The 17,381-nt window shown below is 49.7% G+C and overlaps 1 protein-coding gene across 1 annotated transcript in view, besides 1 other annotated feature; it reads left to right on the plus strand.

The window, feature by feature from the left end:
• WNT3A (Wnt family member 3A) overlaps window positions 1-17,381 on the plus strand; it is a 54,274-nt gene that overhangs the window by 15,927 nt on the left and 20,966 nt on the right. The window lies entirely within an intron of this gene.
• Window positions 13,367-14,330: an enhancer, noted in NCBI's record as "H3K4me1 hESC enhancer chr1:228223992-228224955 (GRCh37/hg19 assembly coordinates)". NCBI's record gives its function as "activates a minimal SCP1, AML or CMV promoter by ChIP-STARR-seq in naive H9 embryonic stem cells {active_cell/tissue: H9 hESC(naive)}" and the evidence as "EXISTENCE:reporter gene assay evidence [ECO:0000049][PMID:30033119]".

A 17,381-nucleotide genomic window follows, 5' to 3' on the forward strand; every position in this document is an offset into this window, starting at 1 on the left:
GGGGAGGGCAGATGAGTCTGGAGTGGGACAGAGTCTCCCGCCTAGCGCTGCCTGACATTCTCATCTGTGCACACGGTGGGAACAGTGCCTCACGCGGACGCTGGGGTCCTTCCCGCTTACCTCCAGGAGGACGGTCTGGGGCTGAAGCAGGACTGAGCCTGTGGGGTTATTCGGGTATCCCTCCTCCTCCTGCTCCCTGGAGAGGAAAGCGGGCATTCTAAGGTGACTCCAACCATGGCCAGTGGCGGGGCTGCTCCCAGGAGCCAGGGCACAGGCCAGGCTTGCAGAGGAAATACACAAACTTAAAGACCTACAAGAAGGGAGAGGTTTGGGGGCACCCTAGAGAAGAAAGAGAGACAGAGAGAAAGACAGAGAGAGACAGAGAGAGAGAAAGATAGAGACAGACAGAGACACAGAGAGAGACAGAGACACAGACACAGAGAGAGAGGAACAGTGAGACGGAGAAAGAGACAGAAAGATGCAGAGAGAGACAGAGAAAGACACACACACAGAGAGACAAAGACAGAGAGAGAGACAGAGAGGGACAGAGCGACCAAAAGAGAAAGACACAGAGGAATAGAAAGACAGAGACATAAAGATGCACAGAGACAGAGAGAGACAGAAATAGAGAGAGACAAAGAGGGACAGAGAGAGACACAGAGAGAGAAACTGAGAGACAGAGAGACAGAGACGGAGAGAACATGGACAAGATTAAAACTTTAGCATCTTTTTTTAAAAAGTTGAGGTGAAATTCACATAACCGAAAATCCGCGATTTTAAAGTATTCAATTCAGTAGCATTTGGTATACTCACAGAATTGTGCAACCATCACCTGCCTAGTTCCAAAATATCTTTATCACCCAAAAAGGAAATCTGTGCGCATTAAGCAGCCATTCCCGTTCTTCTCCCTTCCATAGCCCCTGGCACCCACCCGCCTGCCTTCTCCCCTGTGATTTAGCTACTTTGCCTGTTTAAGAAACGGCATCACTCAATATTTTGCGTCTGGCTTTTTTTCACTGAGTGTGTTGATTCACCTGCACTGTGGATAGTTTCAGCACTTCATTCCTGTTCATGGGCTGAATAATATTCCATTGCATGGATGGAGCACACTGGTTTATTCGTTCTTCAGGTTGACGCATATGAGCGTGGTCTCCACCTTTTGGCTGCTGTGGCCTTTTCTTGGACATGCATGTGTTTGAACGCCGTTTTCACACCTTTTGGTTTCTGTATCTAGGAGTGGAATTGCTGGGTCACAGGGTAATTCTGTTTCGCTTTGCTTGACCTGGGAGGTCAAGGCTGCAATGGGCTGGAACCATCACACTATTTTCCACAGCAGTTGCACCATTTTATATTCCTACCAGTATTGTTTGAGGGTTCCAGATTCATCCTCACTGATACACTGTTTTCTGGTGTTTGTATTTCTTACTTCTGGCCATCCTAGAGTGTGAAGTAGAACCTACTTCTGATTTCAGTTTGCACTTCTCTGATGACCGATGATGCCAAGCACCATTTCATGGGCTTTGGGGCCATTTGTAGACCTTCTTTGAAATGTTTAGTCAAGTCCTTTGCCCATTTTTAAATTGGATTCTTTGTCTTTTTGTTGTTGAGTTGTGAGTGTTCTTTATATATTCTGGATACTGGATGTGCATCAGATGTATGATTGGTGAATATTTCTCTCTCATCGTGTAGGTTTTTTTCATTTTTGTGAGAGTGTCCTTTGATACACAAAATTTTTTAATTTTGGTGAAATCCAGTTTATATAGATGTCATACTGAAGCAAGAATTAGCTAACATAAGGTCACAAAGATTCACATCTATGTTTTCTTCAAAAAACCTAATAGTTTATCTTTTACTTTGAAGTATTTAATCTATTTTGAGCTCATCTTTTTATATGGTATGAGGTAGGAATCTAACCACATTTTTTTGCATATGGAAATTCAGTTATTCCAGTACCTTCTATGGAAAAAACTGTTCTTTTTCCCATCAAATGGTCTTGGCACCCTTGTTGAAAATCAATTGGTCATAGATGTATAGGTTTATTTCTGGACTCTCAATTCCAGTCTATTGGTCTGTATGTCTGTCCTGTCACCAATACCACATTATTTTGATTGTTGTAGCTTTGTGGTATGTTTTGAAACTGGGAAGAGTAAGTTTTCCAGCTTTGTTCTTTCTTTTCCAGATTGTTTGGGGGGGACAGGAAAAAAGATTGTTTTGGCTATTTGGGGTCCCTTTCAAATATATGTAAATTTTAGGAGCAGTTTTTCCATTTGTGCAAAAAAAAATGCTGCTGGGATTTTCATGGGGATTTCACTGATTCTGTAGGTTGCCTTGGGAAGCATTGCCTCCTTAACAATATTAAGTTATTTAATTCAGGAGCTCAGGGTCTTTCCATTTATTTAGGTCTTCTTCCTTAATTTTGTTTGTTTGTTTGTTTTTGTTTTTGAGACAGGGTCTCACTCTGTTGCTCAGGCTGGAGTGCAGTGGCATGATCACGGCTCATTGCAGCCTTGACCTTCCAGGTTCAAGCGATCCTCCTGCTTCAGCCTCCCAAGTAGCAGGGACCACAGGCATGCGCCACCATGCCCTCCCAGTGTTTGTATTTTTTGTAGAGATGGGATTTTGCTGTGTTTCCCAGACTGGTCTCTAACTCCTGGGCTCAAGCGATCCACCTGCCCTGGCCTCCCAAAGTGTTGGGATTACAGGGCATGAGCCACTGTGCCCAGCTTCTGTAATTTCTTTCAGCCATGTTTTGTAGTTTTCAGGGTATGAGTTGTGTACCTCCATGGTTAATGTATTCCTAAGTACTATTTTTCTTTTTGATGCTATTGTCAATGGAATCATTTTTCTTTTCTTCTTTTTGTTTTGAGACAGTGTCTGGCTCTGTCACCTAGGCTGGAGTGCAGTGGCACCATCTCAGCTCACTGTACTTCCATCTCCCAGGCTCAAGTAATTCTCCTGCCTCAGCCTCCTGAGTAGCCAAGCTTGGCTAATTTTTTGTATTTTTTTTTTTTTTTGTAGAGATGGAGGTCTCCCTATGTTGCCCAGGCTGGTCTTGAACTTTTGGGCTCAAGCAATCCTCTCGCCTTGGCCTTCCAAAGTGCTGGGGTTACAGGCGTGAGCCACTGTGGCCAGCTTGTAATTGTTTTCTTAATTTTTTTTCAGATTTTCCATTGTTAATATATAGAAATTTAACTTTTTAATCAAGAAATACATTTTTTTTTTTAGTTTTGATCCTCAACTGTAACCCTGCTTAATTTGTTTGTTAGCTTTGAGAGGGTTTTGGTGAATTGTGTAGAATTTTCTACATATAAATTGATGTCATCTGTGGATGGAAACTGCCTCCTTTCTTCCTATTTGAATGTCTTTTATTTCTTTTTCTTTCCTGATTGCTCTGGCTAGGACTTCCAGTGCTATGTTGAACAGAAATGGTAAAAGTAGGCATCCTTCCCTCGCTCCTGATCTTAGGGTGAAAACTTTGAGCTGCCTGCATATATGGTGTTGGCTGCAGGTTTTTCTTTCTTTCTTTTTATTTATTTATTTTTAATTTCTATTTCAATAACTTTTGGGATACAAGTGTTTTTTTGTTACATGGACAAATTGTTAGTGGTGAACTGAGATTTTAGTGCACCCCTCACCTAAATAATGTACATTGTAACCAATATGTAGTGTTTTATCCCTGGCTTCCCTCCCAACCTCCCTCTTCTGAGTCTCCAGTGTCCATGATATCACTCTGTATGCCTTTGTGTTCTCATAGCTTAGCTCCCACTTATAAGTGAGAACATAGGATATTGGTTTTCCACTCCTGAGTTACTTCAGTTAGAATAATGGCTTCCAGATCCATCCAAATTGCTGCAAATGACATTATGTAAATCCTGTTAATGTCTGAGTAGTATTCCATGGTGTATATATACCACATTTTCTTTATTTTATTTTATTGAGATAGGGTCTCACTCTGTCATCCAGCCTGGAGTGCAGCGGTGCGATCTCGGCTCACTGCAGCCTCCACCTCCTGGTTTCAAGCGATTCTCCTGCCTCAGCCTCCCGAGTAGCTGGGACTACAGGCACCAGCCACCAAGCCCCACTAATTTTTGTTTTTTCAGTACAGACGGGGTTTCACCACTTTGGCTGGGCTGGTCCTGACCTCCTGACCTCAGGTGATCCACCCGCCTCAGCCTCCCTAAGTGCTGGGATTACAGGCGTGAGCCACGGTGCCTGGCCTTATACACCACGTTTTCTTTATCCACTTGTGAGTTGATGGGCACTTAGGCTGGTTCCACATGTTTGCAATTGGGAATTGTGCTGCTGTGAACATATGTGTGCAAGTGTCTTCTTCATATAATGACTTCTTTTCCTTTGGGTAGATACCCAGTAGTGGGATTGCTAGATTGAATGATAGAACTACTTTCAGCTCTTTAAGGAATCACCATACTGTTTTCCACAGTGGTTGAACTAATTGACATTCCTACCAGCAGTGTATAAGCATCCTCTTTTCCCCACATCCATACCAACATCTATTATTTTTTGATTTTTCAATAATGGCATCCTTGCAAGAGTAAGGTGGTATCTCGTTGTGGTTTTAATTTGTGTTTCCCTCATGATTAGTGATGTTGAGCATTTTTACCTATGTTTTTTGGCCATTTGTACATCTTATTTTGAGAATGTCCATTCATGTCCCTTACCCACTTTTTAATGGGATTATTTGTTTTTTCTTGCTGATTTGTTTGAGTTCCTTGTCAATTCTGGATATTCGCCTTTGTCAAATGTATGCTTTGTGAATATTTTCTCCCACTCTGTGGGTTGTCTGTTTACTCTGATGATTATTTCTTTCTGTGTGCAGAAGCTTTTTAATTCAATTAGGTCCCATTTATTTATTTTTGTTTTTGTTGCATTTGTTTTGGGGCTGTTAGTCATGAATTATTTGCCTAGGTTGATGTCTAGAAGAGTTTTTCCAATGTTGTCTTCTAGAATTTTTATAGTTTCAGGTCTTAGATTTAAGGCTTTGATCCATCTGGAGTTGATTTTTGTATAAGGTGAGAGATGAGCATCCAGTTTCATTCACCTACATGTGGTTTGCCAGTTTCCCCAGCACCAATTATTAAGTAGGGTGACCTTTTTCCAATTTATGTTTTTGTTTTCTTTGTCAAAGATCAGTTGTCTGTACATTTTTGGCTTTATTTCTGGGTTCTCTATTCTGTTCCATTGGTCTATGTGCCTACTTTCATACAAGTTCCATGCTGTTTTGGTCACTATAGCCTTGTAGTATAATTTGAAGTTTGCTTCAAATTAGTATAGTAGTATAATTAGTAGTATAATTTGTTTTTGCTTAGGATTGCTTTGGCTATTTGGGATCTTTTTTGGTTACATATAATTTTTTTTTTTTTTTTTTTTTGATGGAGTCTCACTCTGTTGCCTAGGCTGGAGTACAGTGGAGTGATCTCGGCTCACTGCAACCTCTGCCTCCCAGGTTCAAGCCATCTCCTGGATTCCCTGCCTCAGCCTCCCAAGTAACTGGGATTACAGGCATGTGCCACAATACCTGGCTAATTTTTTTTGTTGTTGTTTTTGTTTTTTGTATTTTTAATAGAGACGGAGTTTTGCCATTTTAGTCAGGCTGGTCTCAAACTCCTGACCTCAAGTGATCCACCCACCTTGGCCTCTCAAAGTGCTGGGATTACAGGCTTAAGCAACCACACCTGGCTAGTTCCGTATAAATTTTAGGATTGTTTTTCCTAATTCTGTGAAAAATGATGTTGGCATTTTGAGGGGAATTGCCTTGAAGCTGTAGATTGCTTTGGGCAGTATTGTCATGTTCACAATATTGATTTTTACTGTCCATGAGCATGGGATGTGTTTCTGTTTGTTTGTGTAGTCTATGATTTTCTTCAGCGGGGTTGGCTGCAGGTTTTTCACAAATGCCCTTTATCCAGTTGCCCCAGGTGGCAGTGGCTTTATTTAACTTTCAAGGTTTTCAAAGACCACCCTTCAATTAGCCACTGCTCTCTCCTGAGACAGTTCTGAGTTAGGCAAAACGAGTTTTTTTTTTACCCAGACAGGTTAAAACAGACAAACAATTCCTTGGGGAAAAGGTCTGCTCCGCTCCCTCCAGAACTATCCACCCACCTGGGGAACGCCGGCCTTCACTGTCCCAGGCAGGTTTGTAGGCACCACCACATGAAAACACTACCAGGCTCTCCTAGCAAGTCAAGGTCATCATTTCCTCAAGTTGGCATTCAGTGGGTTGCGGTGACCCTTTGACTACTTTCCAGAGAGCTAACAATGTCGGTACTAACCGTTTGTGTCTAATTTTTTGGAGGGCCCTTGGAGCTTCCTTTTGGGTTCCAGGCTGCGTTCTGGGGTAGAGGACACAGATCCCACCACTCGATGGAGCATCAAGGTCACCTTGGGAGACCCACATGTAGGGCGGAATGTGCATAGTACCATCCACCCCAGGGTGGCTCAGCACAGTCCTGCCGGCAGAGGCGGGGCCCAGGGAACCACAGCTGTGCTGAGCATGTGGTCAGCAGGCCGAGGAGACTTTGGAGACCATGGTGCCGAAGGAAGGCTACTCAGACAAAGCGAGACAGGTCACGCTGGGAAAGTCCTCCCAGGGACCTTGCAGTCCTGGGGGTCCTGTTGGCAGAATGCCCAAGGCCAGAGTTCATCTCACTTCTCCACAAATCTGCTTCCCCGCTGTCTCCCTCATTTTATAACGGACAACCCCAGTTCTCTGTTGCTTAGGTCAAAAACCCTGGGCCCCTGGCTGCCACCTTACCCTCCTCCCTGTCCTCCCCGCAATAGTATGAATGCTTGTGCCCACCCCCCCCCCAATTCCTACATTGAAATCCTCACCCACAGGTGACGGTGTTAGAAGGTGGGGCCTTTGGGAGGTGGTCAGGTCATGAGGATAAAGCCTCATGAGTGGGATCAGTGCCACTGAGGCTGAGGTGGGAGGATTGCTTGAGGCCAGGAGTTCAAGACCAGCCTGGGAAACATAGCAAGACCCCATCTCTGCAAAAAATAAGTTAACATATATTAGCCAAGCACAGTGCCTTGTAGTCCTAGCTACTCAGGAAGTGTCACTTGAGTCCAGGTTGAGGCTACAATGAGCCATGATGGCACCACTGAGCTCCAGCTTGGGCAACAGAATGAGACCCTGTCTCTAAAAAAATATAAAAATAAAAATAAATAGGCCAGGCGTGGTGGCTCACGCCTGAAATCCCAGCACTTTGGGAGGCGGAGGCGGGCAGATCACTTGAGGTCAGGAGTTCGAGACCAGCCTGGCTAACATGGTGAAACCCTGCCTCTACTAAAATACAAAAAAATTAGCCAAGGGGGGTGGTGGGCATCTGTAATCCCAGCTAGTCGGGAGGCTGAGGCACGAGAATCACTTGAACCTGGGAGGCGGAGGTTTTAGTGAGCCGAGATCGCTTCACTGTACTCCAGCCTGGGCAACAGAGTGAGACTCCATCTCAAAAAAAAAAAAAGGAAAAATATAAATAAATAAACAAATAATAAATAAATAAAAAGGAACCTCTCAGTCCTTCCACCATGCATATGCTGACCCAGCGAGAAAAAGAGGTCTGACCCAGTGAGAAAGAGAGGTCTATGAACCAGGATGTGTCCTCGCCGGGCACTGAACCTGCCAGTGCCTTGCCCTTGGACTTGTGCTGTTTATGAGCTGCCTGGCTATGGTGTTTTTTTAGAGCAGCCCACACGGACTGAGACACTCTCTGTGTCTTCCAGCCCCACTGGCCTCTTGGCTGCTTCTCAAACACTGAGCATGATGCCCCCTCCCTCCCACCTTTGCACTTTGCAGTCCCTCTGCCAGGAACACCCTTTCTCCTGTAGTAATTCCCACAGGCCCTCTCAGGAGTGTCCCCCACGCTTGCTCCTATCCCCCAACCCTGCTTCACAGCCTCTGGTCAGCCCCATGAGCTGATGATTCTGTGGAAGGACAGCATGGCCTTGCTCAGCCCCTGCAGCCAAATGCGAAGGAAGACCACAAGTCCTTTGGAGGGGAGGTGCCTGGCCCTGGGGGGCCTGGCATGTGCACTGACCAGGAGAGCTCCTGAGTGTGCAGCTGACACTGCCTCCAGGGCTGGTGGGGCCTGGCTGAGGCCATCCATGGGCAGGAGCCCTCCAGCATCCAGTGGCCATGGCCACGCCCCAGCCCTCATCACGGGCCTGTGTTCTTCAGGCGTGGGGAAGGCACCGTGGGGCAGAGAGTGGGGACCCGAGGGTCAGGCTCAGAGTCCGGGCACTGGTCACTGTGGGTCTGGGATGAGGAGGACGTCCCTGAAGGACAAGTCAGGGTCCCTGTAGGAGAAGAAACTGGAGCTTGGGGAGCTTGGATGGTGGCCTTCCTGTGATCTTGAGTGAGAGGCAGCTCACTTCCTGGAGCATCAGCCTCCCATTTATAAAGTGGAAGAATACTTACAGCTTGTCAGACCTCACAGAGCTGCTGGCTGGGGTAATACACCACGCAGCTCCCCTGGAGATAGCTGCCAGGGTGCACAGGAGTCAGGTCCCAGGGCCGTGCAGCTCATCGAGCGTGTCCAAGGGTGTGTGTGGCGTGTGATGCATTGTGTGTATGTGAGTGTGCACGTGTGTGGGAATGTGGTGTGATGTGTCATGTGTGCACATGCATGTGGTGTGTGGGGTGTGTGCCTGTGCATGTGTGTGCATGTGTATGTGTCAGGTGTAGTGAATGTGTATGTGGTTTGGTGGATACATGTGCCTGTGCATGGGTGTATGTGGATGTGCCTGTGCCGTGTGCATGTGGCTGTGGCATGCATGTGCATGCCTATGTGTGCATGTGATGCAGTTGCTGCCCGCTAGGGTTCCTGGGCTGTGCTGTAGCCAGTGGTGGCATGGAGGGAGGCATGGGCAACATATACACTGCAAAAGGCCAAGAGCACCAGACTGGGCCCTGTGCCATGTGCTTGCTGGCTCCAGAGCCAGGATGGGGTGCTTAGGGCTGCCACTCCCCCTCTGAGAAGGAAGCAGCGATTTTAGGAAGAAAGCAGGAAGCCTGTCCTGCTTGGAGCCATACCAGGTGATGGAGGAAGGCTGTGCTGCATGGGGTCAGAGGGGAACATGCCATTCCCTAAAGCCCTGCTACCCTCGGGAATCTTTAGGATATTTCATTGCCCTCCAGAATGTCAGGGTGTCTCTCACTTGTGGAAGCAGGGAGGACATCTCACTTGCCAAAGCGGGGAGGGCTCCTGCCCATGGACGGCATCAGCTCACTGACTCCCAACCTGGGCATCTGAGCCCAGCTGGAGGCCAGGAGGAAGCTAGCCTCATGAGTCACACCATTCAGGAACCCTTGGGTCTGTCCTCCAAGCTGAGCCTTGGGGAGCCTGTGCATCACTGTCTGGATTGGACGATGCCCATGGAAAGGCACAGATCTGCACAGATGGGAATCCCAGCCAGCAGATTGGCTGGGGGCCCAGCCAGCTGAATGCAAAGCCCCAAAGTCGGTGAATAGCACTGGGTCCTAAACCTGATGGCAACTCCAGCTGCTTCAAGGAAAGGCCTATGAACGAGTCCTGCTCTGGAGTCCCCAAATCTATGGTCTAGGAGCCTGGTCATATACCAGAACTTCCTTCCCTTTTATGGCTGAGTAATATTCCATTGTATGGATAGACCATATTTTGTTTATCCATTCACTCACTGATAGGCATTTGGGTTTTTTCAATTTCTTGACTATTATAAATAATGCCTTTTGTGTGAATGTGTATTTTCAGTTCTCTCTGGCATATACCTAGGAGCAGAATTGGGTCACAGAGGAACTCCATGCTTAACTTTTTGAGGAACTGTCAAACTATTCCAGAGTGTCTGCACCATTTTACATTCCCATCAGCAGGATCTGAGGATTCTGATTTCTGCACATCTTCATGAGCACTTGTGATTTTCTGCTTGTTGTTTTTGTTCTAGCCATCCTAGTGGGTGTGAAGCAATGTCTCACTGAGGTTTTCATTTGCATTTCCCTGATATCTAAGGATGTTGAGCATCTTTTCATGTGCTCATTGGCCATTTGCCTCTCTTCCTTGGAGTAATGTTATTCCATTCTTCCACCCACATTTTAATTGGGTTATTTGTCTTTTTGTCGTTGAGTTGTAAGAGTGCTTTATATAGTCTGCTTACAAGTCCCTTATCCAATACATGACTTGCAAATATTTTCCCCCATTCTGTGGGTTGTCTTTTCACTTGCTTGATGGTGTCCTTTGATACATGCAAGATTTTAATTTTGACGAATTCCAAGTTATCAGTTTTTTATTTGGTTCCTTGGCTTTTGATGCCATATCTAAGAGACAATTGCCTAACCCAAGCTCACAAAGATCTACTCTTCATTAGGTTTTTTTTAAATAAGAGTTTTAGCGTTTTAGTGCTTACATCTCGGTCTTTAATTTTCATCGACGATGTGAGGCAGGGATCCAATCACATTCTTTTGCATGTGGAAATCCAGTTATTCCAGCACAATCTGTTGCAGACTGTTCTTTCCCCTTTGAATAGTCTTGGCAACTTTACTGCAAATCAGTTAGCCCTAGATGTATGAATTTATCTCTGTGCTCTTTATTCTATTCCATTGTTCCATATGTCTGTCTTTATGCCAGTGCCACACTGTTTTGATTATTGTAGTTTTGTAGTGTTTTGAAATTAGAACATGTGAGTCCTCCTGCTCGTCTTTCTTTTCAAGGTTATTTTGGCTATTTGGAGACAATTACAGTTCCATGTGAGTTTTAGGATTAGCTCATCAATTTCTGCAAAAAAAGCTTAGATTTTTAGAAATTGTGTTGAATGTGTAGATCGGTTTGGGAAATATTGTTCTACTAATATTATGTCTTCTGGTCCATGAACATAGGATATCTTCCTATTTAGGTCTTTAATTTCTTTCATGACATTTTGTAGTTTTCAGCATACAAATCTTGCACTTATTTTGTTAAATGTATTCCTTAAGTATTTTATTATTTTTGATGCTGTTGTGAATGAAATTGTTTTATTAATCTCATTTTTTAATTATTTGTCACTAGTGTATAGAAACACAAATGAGGCCAGGTGCAGTGGCTTATGCCTGTAATCCCAGCACTTTGGGAGGCCAAGACAGGGAGATCATTTGAGGTCAGGGGTTCAAGAACACCCTGGCCAACATGACAAAACCCTGTCTCTACTAAAAATACAAAAATTAGCCAGGCATGGTGGCACATGCCTGTAGTCCCAGCTACTCAGGAAGCTGAGGAACAAGAATCACTTAAGCCCAGGAGGCGGAGGTTGCAATGAGCTGAGATCACACCACTACACTCCAGCCTGGGCAACAGAGTGAGACTCTGTCTCAAAAAAACACACACACATACGCACACACACATACACACACAAATGATTTTTAATATAGATCTTGTACTCTGTAACCTTGCTGGAGTTGTTGATCAGTTCTAATGTATTTTTTAATTTGCAGATTCATTAGGGCTTTCTACGTATAAGATAGTTTTATTTCTTCCTTCCAATCTGGATGCAGTTTTTTCATTTTTCTTCCTTAATTGCCCTGGCCAGAGCCTCCAGTGCCATGATGAATAGCAGAGTTGAGAGTGGACAAACAGCTTTCAGTCTTTCACCACTGGATAGGATGTTAGCTGCAGGTAGGCCCCTCTTGCTTTTAAACTTAGTAGTTCTAGATGTGAGAAAAACTTTGTTCACATAAATAAATAGATAAAAATGGGAGCACTTAGTTACCATGCATCTCTCAATTCTTTGAATTTTTTTAGAGTTATATATGCCAAAAATCACATGGTGGCCTATCATCAAAATGTGAAAAAATCCTATCAGCCCATGACTCAGTTAGGTCCTCCTTAAAGTTTGTGGAAAACAGGGAATTAAAGGTGCCTGATTTTCACAAGTCCCAGTCATTATCAATGGCTCCCACTCTTGCTTTCTGGGAGAAACTCCCTAGGGTATGGCACACTCCAGGAAGATCCAGGAGTCTCCTGGAACAAGAGCTGGGACCCTTGGGGGTCTCCCATGGGTCTGGTGTGTGACAGCATCCCTATAGCATATGCCACACAGGTATACATGTGGCGCAAATGTACACAGTCGGTCCCCTGGGAAAGCACAGAGATGCACTCTGCCACACAGCATATGCTTAGAAATGATGTATTAAGCCAGTGACCTAAGGACAATGGTGCATGACTCGGGGAATCCCAGGAGGGCTTCCCAGGGGAGGTGGCCCCTGGGCTGAATCTTGAAGGATTTTCTTCCTTTAAAACACACACATATGCAGTATTTTCTAGGCACCATTTAAGTGTTCGACACACCATGGCCAGTTGAATCCTCATGCCCATCTGTTGAGGCCAGCAGTGCGGTGACCCTGTTTTACAAATGAGGAAGCAGAATCACTGTGACAAAGCAGAGACATGAACCTTGGCAGCCTGGCTCCAAAGTCCCCAGGCAGAGGGGACAGCCCATGCCAAGGTTGGGGCTGACGTGGGGGTGAGCAGAGCCCTCAGGCAGGCCCAGCAGTGACAGAGCCTAGCTGGAGCATACAGTTTAGGAATCACTGGAGGAACCCCAAGCCCACAGGGAGGGCAGGTGCAGCCCGGGAGGAAGCAGAGAAGGTAGGACTCCAGAGGATACCCGGTCCCCATGTGTGCATCCCTCCGGGCAGGGCGGGGATGGATCTGAGCGGTCACTGAGAATTTCTCAATGGGGCTCTTGGATTAATGCCGCAGGCTCTCCAGGGGCAAGTGGGCCTCACAGATGCCCAGGTCCTGCCCTAAGGTGCCAGCGTTGGGTTGGGGCGGGGAGCCCCCATTTCCGGTTGTTTTCCTGCTGCTATGCCGGCCTCTCTGCAAAGGGCTGAGCTCCTGCTGTGCTTCTAGCCTCCCCTCCCATCCCACTTACCTCCCCTGGACCCTCTCCTTCTCCGCTTCTCTGATCCTACTACCCCCTTCTCCTCCCCTTTCTGATAGAGGAACACAGTCTGGAACCCCTCCTACCTCCTCATGGCTTAAATAGGTTTAAGTAGGAAAGGGGAAGTCCCGGCTCCTCCCTCCTGCCTGCCATGGGGACTCAGAAATGCTTGGAGTCCTGGTGGCCTGGGAGGAAGGAGCCCGCCGGGTGCCTCAGAGAGAGGCCTGCTCAGGAGGCCATTGTGGAGGCCCTGGCTGCGCTCTCCATAATCATATGATTGGATTAGGGTCAGGGCAACCCTAATCATGTCAAAGGTCACCCCAGGCTTTGTGGCAGTGGCCACAGGGTGCCTGACCACCCCTGCCAAGATGGCCTTGTTGAACACAGTTAAAAACCCTCAGTCAGCTGTGAAGAGAGGGGCCCAGCCTCTTGTGTGTGTGTGCACATGTGAGTGTACACCCTAGCGTGTGCATTGTGAGGGGTGCATGTGTGTGCCTATATGTGCACATAAGCCATATATGTGCATGCCTGTGTGTATGCATGTGCATGTGTGTGTGTGTGTGTGCATGAGTGTGAACATATGAAGGAAGAAGCTTCATATCCTCACACCTCCTGCTTTCATCCCCATCTGCCGTCCACCTGGCCTGGGGCTGGGGACTGGGGCCACCAGACTGAGGCTGGGAGAAACCATCAGTCCTTGGAACATGGGGCTCTGTCACAGAAGCTGAGCCTGGTCCCTGAAGAGCCCTCTCTTCTGGGGTCCAAAAGGAGCAGGACATTCAACCTGCCTGGGGTAGAAAGCATTTGAGGAATTTTAAGTGCATGGAGACTGGGCACACCGTGCAGCTTCTCTGTCCCCTGCCGCAGGACCCAGGCACTGGGAGGGCTCACTTCCCTGCAGAGCTGGAGACACCTCACTCTTGACCCCTGGCAAGGTAAAGCTGGCAAGGACACAGGTACAGAGAAAGGGCAGGGACGGCTGCAGTGGATGCAGCAGCCCAGGGCCCAGCAGCTGGATCTCAGGCAGCACGTGGCTCTGCAGAGAGCCTGGCCTGCTCTAGGCCAGGTGGGGCATGTGCTCCTTAGAGAAGGGGACAGAGGCCAGGAGCGGGCGAGGCCTGGAGCCTAGGGATGCCACCTGTGCCCACATGCTCGGTGCCCTCTAACATGGGCTGGGCCCAGGAGTCCCCCCGGGCCCTGGCACCTGCCAGATAGGTCGGGGGGAGTGGAGTGGCATGGGGAGGTATGCAATCTCTTGTGCTTCCCAAGTAAGTGTGCTTCCCACAACTCCCAGTGGACACTTCCCAGAGCCCTGGGGTTTGCTTCTTCGTACCCAGTGTGGGTGGGGCCTGCAGCAGTGGCCCTCCCACTCAGCCTTCACACACCACCCCCTCTTCAAGCATTTCCAGTCCCCACCCCCTGCCCTATTCTGTGAACCCCAGGGTATCCCCACTCAAAGCACACGGCCAGATTCCTGGTTGGTGCCCCAGGACCCCTCCAGCCCCAAAGGGTGGGGAGAGTAATGAAAGGGTCCTGCGCACCACATGTCAGTAAGCCTTGTTGGGTGCCCCACAAGTCCCCCTTCATCTCTCCAACGTCTTCCCCAGGCAGGAGACAGCCCAGCCTCCTCTCCTCCCCGCTGAGCCCCCAGGAGCCCCTCGGGGGTGGTCCGCCACCTCCCTGTGTGTCCCCTGCCTATGAGGGCCGGCACAGGGGTGGGGCCTGCCTGCTAGGACATGGGGACACACAGGGCAGCTCTTTAGGGAACCAGCGTCCCCAAAGCCAGGTTGCGACCCCTGACCCCCCCCATCGGAAAGTGTTGCCGTTTAAGATGCGTTGGGGTGGGGGGCTCCCCTGGCTCCAGCGGCCTCTCTGGTATATCATTAACTCTCCCCAGTGGGAGGGGAACCCCGGCCGACTCCCCGCCGCGTCCGGCTGGGAGCACAATATCCCAGCGACGGCGACAAGATTAAGCACAAGGGGAGAGTGCAAATGCGCGGGCGGTTCACACGCCCTTCGCGGTGCTGAATTAAAGCGTCTGAATGGGGATTTCCCCTCGCGCCGGACGGCCTGGCGCGCGGCGCATACTTCCAGGTTGCTATGACTGGCCTGCGCTCGCCTAATCACCGACTAGGGGGAAATTCATATAAAATATCGCCGGCCATTGTGGGCCTAACTCGGCGTGACAGTGGCGCACAAAGCCGGATTCAAGCGCCCCAGCGGGTCAGCACGGCGCCCGGCCGCGCGGGCCGCCCGGCGGTGTCAGGGGCCGTGGCCGCGGTGGGGCGCGGGCCGCATTCCGCTCTCAGGTGGCTCCGGGGCCTTTTGTGCAGGCCATGATTACCAAATGCCACCGCGACACCCCCTCCCGGCCGCCTGGCTCCTCCTGGGGCCGCAGGAATGAGGGAAGGTGGGCAGCCCCCGAGGGGAGGCGCCCGGGCGTCGGCTCCGGCGGGCTCCGGCGGGGACCGGGGCGCGGGCTGAGTCCCCCTGTGTGCCCCACAGCAAAGGGTCTTCTCCTTCCCCTGTGTTCAGGCCTCAGTGGGGGAAAAGGGCCCACGCGTTGGCTGCTCTGGAAGCCTGTTGTGGCCTCCCGATGGGCACGAGAAGGACTTTGCTTGTCCTTTTTCAGGGGCGATGGTCCCCAGATGACATGACATTTGGGGCCACAGTGACCTGCAGGCCCCTGGCCAGTCTGGTCAGGTGGTCCTAGCTGGGATCCAAGGCACCCCCCTCACTCAGCCAGCCCCTTCCAGCAGCTGTGGCGTGAGCAGGCAGGAGATGGGGGCAGCACCAGGAGGGAGGGACCCAATGCATTCGGGGTGGCCACTGTCCCCACAACTCTATGGGTCCCAGGTATGTGGTGGGGGTGTGGTAATCATACAGGGTGCAGCGTGCACGGGGGGCTGTGTTCGCTGTGACCCTCCATCCCCCAGGATGCCTGAAGGCCAGTCCCTGGAGTACAGGGAGACTGCTCCTCACTGGTGCATGGAAAGGGCTGGCAGATCAGGCAGGGGGAAGGCCTGTGGGGTGGGGCATTTGCCCTGCAGACCTGGGGAGAGAAGCTGGCTGCAGTAGGGTGCACTTGGGGGACAGAGGGCATTTTTTTGTCACAGTGGAGGTGAGAACTTCCCGGTGGAGATTCAGCAGAGTTTTTCTCCTGGGCAGTGGGCAATGTTGGGAGTCTGGGCCCCCAGCACCCGGCTGGACTGGCCACCATGGAGTCCTGCCCTCGGCCAGTGCATCCCTGCCAGAGCTGGGGGTGTCCAGCCAGACAGTCAGCATTGCCAGGGGAAAGAGACGAAGCCACAGGTTTCCAGGGGCTGGGGACAGCATTGGAGGGCCCCAGGAGGCATGGCCAGGTGAGCATGGGTCAACATCAAGAAGCAGACTGGGCAAAGGCGGCATCCCAAGCTCCTAGGAAAGGAGGTGTCAGCTGCCCCAGGATGGGGCCACAGAGGCAGAACCATAGCCCCCTTCCCAGACTAAGCAGCCCAGCCACCAGCTGCCAGCAGCCAGGGCCCTGAATCCCAGAGCCTGTGACCAAGGTACCCACCTCCAGGAAGAGGCCAGGCCAGAGACCCAATGACCACTGTCTACTCATGGGGGGATGGCCATCAGCATATCAGAGACACCCTCCCAACCCCCTTCTCCTGGCAGGCTCCTGTTCAGGGTCTTGTCCAGGGTCCCATAGAGCCCTTACAAAGTCATGGCCAAGCTGTCCATAGCCTTCTTTCTGGTCACAGCCCAGAGGAGGGGTCAGCACGGAATGGAATCTGAGCTTGGGAGATCTCATCTCAGTTGATGCATCAGAATCACTGGAGACCCTTTAAGATATAGGTGCCCCCCACCCCAGTTGAACTTGGGTCCCCAGGGCGGCCCTGCAGTGATTCATTGGCCCCCCAGCCATGACCATTGTTGGAAGCCTCCAGTCCTAATTCCCTGATGGGCTTCCCAGAGGGGCCAGCCTGGGTGAAGCCCTTCAGACTGAGCACTCTGCCTCCCCGAGGAGCTGGATTTCATTGTCCTATGGTCGCATTTAACAACAATCCCCACCCCCTGACCCAGAACTTTCCCTCCTTCAAGTTGTTTGTCCCTCAGAAAAGCCACTCAGGAGTCCCCTCTGGACCAACAGGCATGTCCCAGGAGCCCAGGAGTCCCAGGCTGTCCCTCTCCTCTCGCCCTGTATCAGCCCCCACAGCCTTTCCACAGATAGGCATGTCCCCCTCAGCCATGCAGTGGGGGCCCAGCCAGGCAGGTGGGCTCCCTGCTCCCTTGAGGCTATGGCCATGGAAACGCCAGCCATGGGAACACCCATTGGAGCTGCAGGAGCCCATAATGATGAGTTCAGGGACCTCTCTTGGGACCCCTCTGTCTGGGCTCTGCACTCACTGCTGTGCAGCCTGGGGCCCATGGCTGACCCTCTCTGAGCCATCTTCCTGTTGGGGCCACTTCTCTCATTAGTTAATACAAGG

This window comes from Homo sapiens, chromosome 1 (genome assembly GCF_000001405.40).
Source record: "Homo sapiens chromosome 1, GRCh38.p14 Primary Assembly".
NCBI lineage: Eukaryota > Metazoa > Chordata > Mammalia > Primates > Hominidae > Homo > Homo sapiens.